This window comes from Homo sapiens, chromosome X, assembly GCF_000001405.40.
Source record: "Homo sapiens chromosome X, GRCh38.p14 Primary Assembly".
Lineage (NCBI taxonomy): Eukaryota > Metazoa > Chordata > Mammalia > Primates > Hominidae > Homo > Homo sapiens.
In genome coordinates, this window is record NC_000023.11 from 34,148,358 (window position 1) to 34,158,448 (window position 10,091).

Consider the following 10,091-nt stretch of genomic DNA (forward strand, 5'->3'; position numbering starts at 1 on the left):
AGTAAGTCCTCAGTTAATGTTGTTGATAGGTTTTTGGAAACTGCAACTTTACACAGAAGAACTGGTAAGGAAACCCATTTTACCCTAGGCTAATTGATATAAACAAGAATTAAGTTTTGTGGCATATTTCCCATCACAAAACATCACCAAACTTGTAAAGAAAGACCAAATTACTTCCAGTATTAAACATGGAAATAAATTTGAATTATAAGTACATTTAAAAGATTGATAGAAACAAGTAAAATAATTATTTATCCATGTATTCCAGTTCAGGGGGAGAGTGGCTGGTGCATACCTGGGAAGCTCAGGGAGCAAGGCCGGAATCAGTCCTGGCCAGGATGCCATCTCATAGCAGGTCTCTCTCTCTCTCTCTCTCTCTCTCTCTCTCTCTCTCTCACACACACACACACACACACACACACACACACACACACTCTTACACTGGGACAATGTAGACACCCCAACTCACCTAACATGCACAACTTTAGGATGTGGGAGGAAATGGGAGTACACGGAGAAAACGCATACAGACATGGGGAAAACGTGCAAACTCCACACAGACAGTGGCCCCTCTGGAAATTGATTTTTTTCCTCATCAACGTTATAATGAAACAACGTTGAACAAATCAATGTTGAAGGAACGATATTCGAGTATACTTATATATGCATAGATTTAAATTTTGTTTATATGTATTTCTTATGTATTTATTTATATGCATTCATTCTACCAGCAGCGGGCTTCATTTTGAATCTCCAGACAAGATTCTGAATTTTTGCTTAGGAAGGCCACCTTTGTTCAAAGCAGTTCAGTGACTGTGTTATTGAAAATGATACATCTGCTTTCTAGATCTTTTTTGAGCCTGGTTTTATTTCTGTGCTCAGGTTTCATATATCTAACTTCGATTTGGTTTTCTTTGCTTGCTACCAAGAGAAACTTAGCTAATAAATCTCATTATCAATACACCTTTATCGGGTTCTATTGTAATTATTTATAGTGAAGTGAATGGCTCCTCTGGGGTAGCAAATGACATTTTTCACTTTATTCCTAATAGAGTATGCTGAAAGGAAAAAGCATGAAAAATGAAAAGGAAAAAATAGAAAAAATTGTCTCCATGAAAATAGAAGTGAATGCTGCTATCACAGCCACTCCTTATCACCTGGAAATGTGTTTCTATCATAATTTATGGGGTTTTAATTCCTTAAACCAGCTTTTCCTTTTTTTTTTTTTTTTTTTTTTTGAGACAAGGTCTCACCCTGCCACCCAGGGTGGAGTGCAGTGGCACCATCACTATTCACTACAGCCCCACCTCAGCCTCCTGAGTACCTGGGACTACCGGCCCACACCATCACACTTGGCTAATCTGTGTATTATATGTAGAGATGTGGTTTTCTCATGTTGCCCAGGCTAGTCTCAAACTCCTTGGCTCAAGAGGTCCTCCTGCCTCGACCTCCCAAAATGCTAGCATTATAGGCACTAGCCACTGCGCCTGGCCTTAAACCAGTTTTATTAGACTCTGTTCCCTATCATCATATCACACAAAATAGCAATAGGTGTTCAGTGAAAAAGTGGATTTGTGGCAATATTTTAAATATATTTGTATTTATATATAATACATAATTATATATTTTGTATATATAAATATGTATCAATATTTATTAATATATATTTATATTATATATAAATATAAATTATATATATGCAGAACATATTTGTGTTTATTAAATTAGCAAATTTTTTTGCTTTGTTTTCAGTTTATATTTTTTACTCTAGGAATTTTCAGTCTTCAATATAAAAATATATTTTGTGAATTTACAACAGGAGGATAAAATATTCAGCATTTTCCCAACTTCCTAATCATGAGATGCTTTTTCTACCAAATTTTACAGAACAATACTCCAAAGAAAATAACTCCGTAAACAACATCAAAGAATCTCATGGCGTGTTATTCCAGAAGCATATACCCGGCAGCTTAACGGCTCTTTCACTGAGAAGTCATTATGCAAAACTTGCTTTTGCTGTGAAAATTCCAGCACAGTAAATTTCAAAGCAAAAAGTGGAATTCAAGCCCCTCAGCATGAGTGTGTGTAGATAACACCCAGAACCATTTTGTTTCCTGATGGATTACTCCTAACACTATATTTCTTTTCTGTTATCCTCTAATTTTCATTTTTAAATGAATGGTTTCTGAGAATGATGACATTGATATTTATCTAATACTTAAAGTTGAGAGGTGGTTTAGTGCTCCCACATAGCTTATACTCCTTCCTTTCTCTACCTATATATTCATCTTATCAGCAGGAAAGTTCTTCCTTTTGATTTTCCAAGATTGCTCATTTTTGGTCAGTAATACATCCTTTGGACAAAAGCAGTCAGTGCCTTAACTCTTTTGGAAAACAAATACCTGTTTCTTTTCTCACCAAAGCATGCTGAAATTCCTCAAAATTCTGGCACTGAGCTATGCGAAAAAAAAAAGGCACATATGGCTTACAGTATTTTAATAATAAAGTCCTGGAATGTTAAATAAATATACAAGTAATGTGCAGCATCTTATAGTCCACCTCTTTCCTCCAGTAGAGATCATCAGCATTTTCTATGTCACTATTCAATTTTGAATGGACATCCTGTTGCAGTGCATTCCTCTCTAGGTTCAGTAAAGGACATGTTAAGCTTCTCTCCAGCCCTAAAATACATGTTGTAATTCTATAAATTGAAACTGCATTTTTCCCAAACAATATTGAACATGAAGCAACACCTAACCATAAACTCTTGTAGCTGTTTTAATTTAAATGTATCCTCACAGCTACTTTTGGGTATACTTATATTCTTATAATTCCAATGAATTTGATAAGGTACTTATTTTATTCCCAGGCAGACATTAACATAATACAGAACTATTATTTTCTAAATATGGAAAATATGTAATCATTTTTATAAATGATTATTTTATCCTAGAAAATAACAAGGTGATTAAAAATGCTTTTTCACAAGAGCAGCGTTTGAGTCTGGCCTATCTTACTAACCACAACTTTCATTTGTCTGCTGTTTGGCTGTTTAATTCGATTCAACAAACATTTGTTCTTAATAAATGAGTTGGTGCTAGGGAGTCAAAGTTAAATGAGACATGGACTTGGCCCAGTTAAGTGAGATGTATTAGCAGTTTGCCAATTTTTTAAGAGTAAAACACACATCCAATATGAGGTTATTTTAATGAACAATTAAATCAAGAGTGAATTTAGGAAGTGTTTTCATTTATAATTTTCCATTCAATGTTTATTAAAGAGATAATGCTACACAATCATTCAATGAACTTTCACAAACAGTAATGAAATAATTTTTACAAGGTTTGTGGAAGAACGTAGGCCAGTTACTCTTCGTATCAAAACAGTGGACTCTAAACAAATCTAAAGCATCATCGTAATGACAATTATCTGAGTAATTTATAATATGGAAATAATGTATGAAGGAACTACCTATTCCTGATAATGAGGGGATGTTACCTAAGGGAGAGGGAGATTTTGAGCAATAACTCAACACAATGTAATAGATGAGATTTTGGCAAATAAGGAGATTACAAATTGGTTTACATATTTTATGATATTTTTGCCCTGAGACAAAGAATGCACTTGGAAGTATGTTTTCCTCGTGTGGATCACACAGGAGTCTTCTAAGGGACTGGTTTAAAAATATGTTTTCAAAACTAGAAATAAGTTATTTCTACTGTGGATATGAATCTGCAAGAAATCTATTGGTAAAGGTAATCTAAAAAAAAAAATAGGGCTTCCTAAATGTCAGCTTTTTATACCAGAAAAAAATACAGGTACTAGTTAAAGTCTTTTACAGTATCATGACTTGCTTTCACTAATGAAAATAGCTCACAGTTATTGAGAGCTTGCCATGTATAAGGCACCAGCTTAAGTCATTTATATAAATTACCTCATTTCTGCCTCACAGCAACATAAAATGTGGTGCTATTGTTATACCCATTTTACAGATGATGACAGTGAACTCAGAGAAATTATATTAATTCCTCATGTCTCAAAACTAGTAAGTGGCAGAGGCGAAATTTATCTCAAGACATTTTAAAATTTGATTTATAATTTCTCTGTTTCTCCATTGGTGGTTCAGGTGCATGCTGTGTAATTTCCATGTATTTATGAATTTTCTAAAATTCCTATTGTTATTTATTTCTACACTCATGCCATTGTCAGAAAAGATATTTAATGCCATTTCCACCTTCTTAAATTTGCTAAGACTTCTTTATGGCTTAACATTTTATTTATTCTGGAGGTATTCTCTATGTGCTTGAGAAGAATGTGTATTCTGCACAATGCAGTACATCTATTGGATGTACTGCATTGTGTATATCTGCTAGGTCCATTTGGTCTAAGGTGTAGCATGTGTCCAGTGTTTGGTATTTATTTTCTTTCTTAAAGATTTGTCCATTGCTGAAAGTGGATATTGAATTCTCCTACTGTTATTGTATTACAGTCTATCTCTCTCTTCATATCTACTAATATTTGTTTTATATATTTAGGTGGTCTGATGTTGGGTGCATATACATTTACAATTGGTATAGCCCCTTGATGAATTTACCCCTTTATCACGAATGACCTTCTTTCTCTCTGGAGGGAGTTTTTTACTTAAAACTATTTTTTTATACATATATGTAGCTGTTTTTGTCTTTTGGTTTTTATTTACATGAATATATTTTTCCATCCCTTCACTTTTATTCTATGTGAGTCCTTACAAGAGAAGTTAGTATCTTGTAGGCAGTGTGTGACTCGGTAATTTTTGTTGGCCATTCAGCCACTCTATGCCTTTTGATTGGAGAATTTAATCTCATTTACAATCAAGGTAATTATCAGTATGTGAGGACTTACTGTTGTCATTTGTTTATTGTTTTCTGGCTGATTTGTAGACACTTCATTCTTTTCTTCCTCTATTGCTGTCTTTGCTTTGTGGTTACCACAAGGCTTACAAGAAACATCTTATAGTTTTAAAAGGCTACATTAAAAAAAGTTTTATTATAAGTACAGGGGTACATGTGCAAGTTTGTTATATAGGCAAACTTGTGTCATGGGAGTTTGTTGTACAGATTATTTCATCACCAAAGTACTAAGACTAGTACCCAGTAGTTATTTTTTCTGATCTTCTCCCTCTTCCCACACTCTGCCTTCAAGTAGGTCCCAGTGTTTGTTGTGCCCCTCTTGGTGTCCATGTGTTCTCATCCTTTAGCCCTCACTAAGTGAAAGTATAATGGCCTCAAGCTCCATCCATGTTCCTTCAAAGGACATTATCTCATTCTTTTTTATGGCTGCATAGTATACCATGATGTATATTTAGCATATTTTCTTTATCTAGTCATCCGTTGATAGACATTTAGGTTGATTCCATGTCTTTCCTATTGTAGATAGTTCTGCAGTCAACATTTACGTGCATGCATCTTTACGTTAGAACGATTTATATTCCTTTGGGTATATACCCAGTAATGGGATAGCTGGGTTGAATGGTAGTTCAGTCTTCAGCTCTTTGAGGAAGCGCCACACTACTTTCCACAATGGTTGAACTCATTTATGCTCTCACTAACAGTGTATAAGCATTCCCTTTTCTCCACAATTTCACCAGCATCTGTTACTTTTTGACTTTCTAGTAATAGCCATTCTGACCGGTGTGAGGTAGTATCTCATTATGGCTTTGATTTGCATTTCTGTAATGATCAGTGATATTGAGCTCCTTTGTATGTACTTGTTGGCTGCATTTATGTCTTCTTTTGAAAAGTGTCTGTTCTTGTCCTTTGCCCATTTTTAATGGGGTTGTTTAATTTTTTTCTTGTAAATTTGCTTAAGTTCCTTGCAGATGCTAGATATTACACTTTTGCCAGATGCATAGTTTGCAAATATTTTCTTGTATTCCGTAGGTTGCCTGTTTATTCTATTGAGAGTTTCCTTTGCTGTGAAGAAACTCTTTAGTCTAATAAGATCTGATTTATCAGTATTTGTTTTTGTTGCAATTGGTATTGGTGTCTTTATCATGACATCTTTGCCAGTTTCTAATTCCAGACTGGTATTGCATAGGTTGTCTTGCAGGGTTTTTATAGTTTGGGGATTTCCTTTAAGTCTTTAATCCATCTTGTGGGTTTTTTAGTATAGTGTACAGTGTAAGGAATTTTGTGTGTGTGTGTGTGTGTGTGTGTGTGTGTGTGTGTGTGTGTGAGGAATGGGTTCAGTGTCAATCATCTGCATATTGTTAGCCAGTTATCCCAGCACCGTTTATTAAATAGGGTGTTTTTCCTCATTGTTTGTTTCGTCTGCTTTGTGGAAGATCAGATGTATGTAAGTTTGCAGCATTATTTCTTTTTTATATAGCATAAGGAACGGGTCCAGTGTCAATCATCGGCATAGGTCTAGCCCGTTATCCCAGCACCATTTATTAAATAGGGTGTTGTTTCCTCATTGTTTGTTTTGTCTGCTTTGTGGAAGATCAGATGTATGTAGGTTTGCAGCATTATTTCTGGGCTCTCTATTCTGTTCCTTTGTTCTGTGTGTCTGTGTTTGTACCAGTACCATGTTCTTTTAGTTACTGTAGCCCTGGAGTATAGTTTGAAGTAAGGTAACATGATATTTCCAGCTTTGTTTCTTTTGCTTAGGATTGCTTTGGCTAATTGGGCTCTTTTGTGGTTCCATATGAACTTTAAAATTTTTTTTATAGTTTTATAAATGTACTTTTAGGAATAACATAGATTCTGTAAATTGCTTTGGGCAGTATGGCCATTTTAACAATATTTATTCTTCCTATCCATGAGCATCAAATGTTTTTCCATGGTTTTGTCACCCCTGATATCTTTGAGCAGTGTTTTGTAATTCACAGAGTGGAGATCTTTCACATCCACTGTTTGCTGTATTTGTAGGTATTTTATTCTTTTTGTGGAATTGTGAATTGGATTTTATTCCTGATTTGGCTCTGAGCTTGGCTATTGTTGGTGTGTAGGAATGCTAGTAATTTATGTACATTGATTTTGTATCCTGAAACTTTGCTGAAGTTGTTTATCAGCTTAAGGAACTTTTGGTCCAAGGCTAAGGGGTTTTTACATATAGAATCATGTCATCTCTAAACTGGGATAGTTTGACTTCCTGTCTTCCTATTTGGATGACTTTTATTTCTTTCTCTTGCCTGATTGCTCTGGACAGAACTTATAATACTACAATTGAATAAGAGTGATGAGAGAGGGCATTCTTGTCTTGTGCCAGTTCTCAAGGATAATGCTTCCAGCTTTTGACCATTCAGTCTGATGTTGGCTATGGTTTTGTCATAGATGGCTCTTATTATTTTGAGGTTTGTTCCTTGAATGCCTAGTTCTCTGAGAGTCTTTAACATGAAGACATTTTGAATTTTGTTGAAAGCCCTTTCTGCCTCTATTAAGATGATCACATGTTTTTTGTCTTTTGTTCTATTTAGGTGATAAATCACATTTATTGATTTACATATGTTGTAACAATCTTGAATCCCAGGGATAAAGCCTGCTTGATCATGGTGGTGCTTTTTGATGTGCGGCTGTGTTTGGTTTGCGGTATTTTGTTGAGGATTTAGCATAAAAGTTCATCAAGGATATTGGCCTGAAGTTTTCTTTCTTTATTGTGTCTCTGCCAGGTTTTGGTATCACGATGATGCTGGTCTCATAGAATGAGTTGGGGAGGAATTCCTTCCACTCAGTTTTTCAGAATAGTTTCCATAAGAATGGTACAATCTCTTCATCATACATCTGGTAGAATTGGCTATGAATCCATCTGGTCCTGGGCTTTGTGGGGTTGGTAGGATATTTATTAGTGATTCAATCTTGTTGCTCATTTTTGGTGTGTTCAGGGATTCAATTTCTTCTTGGTTCAGTCTTGGGAGAGTGTATTTCTTCTAGATTTTCTAGTTTGTGTACATAGAGGTGTTCTAACTAGTATCTGATGATGATTTGTATTAACATATTTCTATGGAGTCAGTGGTAACATCCTTTTTGTCTTTTCTAATCATGTTTATTTGGATTTTCTATCTTTTCTTTATTAATCTAGGTAGCAGCCTATCATATTTTTTTTCAAATATTCAGCTCCTGGCTTCTTTGATCTTTTTAATGGTTTTCTGTCTCTCAATCTCCTTCAGTTCAGCTCTGATTCTGGTTATTTCTTGTCTTCTGCTAGCTTTGGGGTTGTTTTGCTCTTGTTCCTTTCAGTTGTAATGTTAGGTTGTTAATTTGAGATCTTTCTAATGTTTTAATGTGGGTGTTTAGTGCAATATATTTCCTTCGTAGCACTGCCTTAGCTGTGTCTCAGAGATTCTGCTATGTTGTGTCTTTGTTCTCATTCGTTTCACAGAACTTCTTAATTTCTGCCCTAATTTCATTATTTACCCAAAAGTGTTTCATGAGATGCTTGTTGAATTTCCATTTAATTGTAAGGTTTTCAGCAATTTTCTCAGTCTGGATTTCTATTTTTATTGTTTGTCATCCAAGAGAGTGTTTGGTATGATTTCAGTTCTTTTTTATTTGCTGAGGATTGCTTTATCTCTGATTGTGTGGTTGATTTTAGAGCATGTACCATGTAGCAATGAGAATAATGTATATTCGTTGTTTTGGGGTGGAGATCTTCATAAACCTCTCTCAGGTCCATTTGGTCCAGTATATAATTTGAATTATACTTCTGTCATTTCAGGCATCTCAGCTCAGTTAAGAACCCTTCCTATAGAACTAGTGTTGTTGTTTGGAGAATAGAAGGCACTCTGACTTTTCGAGTTGTTAGAGTTCTTGTACTGGTACTTTCTCATCTTTGTGGACTGATGTTCCTTCAGTCTTTAAAGTTGCTGTCCTTTTGTTTTTGTTCTATTCCTTTATCCTATTTGATTCCCTTGGGAGTTTGGTAGTGGTATAATGTGGGTTCAGTCAACTGGCTTTATTTCCGAAAGATTTTAGTTGTGGGGTGAGGCTCAACTCAGGAATCCTGGGCTGCATGCCCTAACCCTGGGTGAATGTTACCAATCCTGGATTTCTTCTCTGGCCCCTCAAAGTTGGGAAGCTGTGCTAGAGGGGCTGAGGTGCTCCCAGGCTGCTGGTCACAACACTCCAATGGGTAGTGCCACCCAAAGCACTTAGTAGGGAGGTGGCAGCAGTACCAGTTTTTGTTTGCTCATGCCAGTGACAGTGCAGCAGGATACTGGCCTCTGTGCAGATTTTCACAGTAGTGGTTGGTGTTAGCATGGCACAGCAGGGCGTGGTGCCCCCTACTAGTGTCTGTGTGAGCATTTGCGCCTGTGGTGGTGTTAGCATGAGGGCAGGGTTCTGGTGGGCTCAGGGCTGTGTGCGCCCTCTGTTCACTATCACACGGGTGGCTGTGGCTGTGGTTGCTCAGGGTGAGGGTGGGTCCGCTGGTCTCCATGCCTAGTTTTACACTAGTGGCAGTGTTGGCACAGGGGTTAGGTGCTGGCGAGGGTGAGGCTGGTGGATTCCATGCCCAAGAATGCTCCTACAGCGATAACAGTGCAGTGGGGGTGGGGAGCAGAATGCACTAACACTGGCAGCAGTGGCACAGCGGAGTGCACATGCACACATGTGCTTGCAGGGAAGGGAAGGCCAGGTCCTTTTGGACACACGTGCACTGGCAAAGATATTTGGGGGTGGTTGTGGGCAAGTGCATACAGGCAAATTGCCACAGGGGAGGCTGCAGTGCAGGAAGTGCTGACTGGCTGGTGTGTGTCCTCAGGTGCTGCTCTGTTGGAGCTCTCTGTCTGTGAGGTGCATTCTACCAGCACAGGAGCTATGATGTGGGACCCCAGGAGGTCCTCCTCCCCTGGGCACCTGAGACTGCACAGCAAGCAGGTATGGCCTGGCTAGGACTCCTGGGAGAGGCCAGCAGACTGAGGGGTGCTCAAGTCAGACCAGCCCCATCTCATGAGCATGGCCACCGTGTGGAGTTGAGATCTGTCAGTTCCCCTAGGACTAAAGTCTCCTATGGCAGCAAGTTGAGCCTAGGGAAATGGGTGTCCCTGCCTATACTCCATTACAGACATTCCCGCAACAAACCCTCTGGGCTCACACTGGCTGGAGTTCCGCCCC

The 10,091-nt window shown here is 37.5% G+C and overlaps 1 annotated feature.

Moving 5' to 3' along the window:
• Positions 9,080-9,580: an enhancer, noted in NCBI's record as "H3K4me1 hESC enhancer chrX:34175554-34176054 (GRCh37/hg19 assembly coordinates)". NCBI's record gives its function as "activates a minimal SCP1, AML or CMV promoter by ChIP-STARR-seq in primed H9 embryonic stem cells {active_cell/tissue: H9 hESC(primed)}" and the evidence as "EXISTENCE:reporter gene assay evidence [ECO:0000049][PMID:30033119]".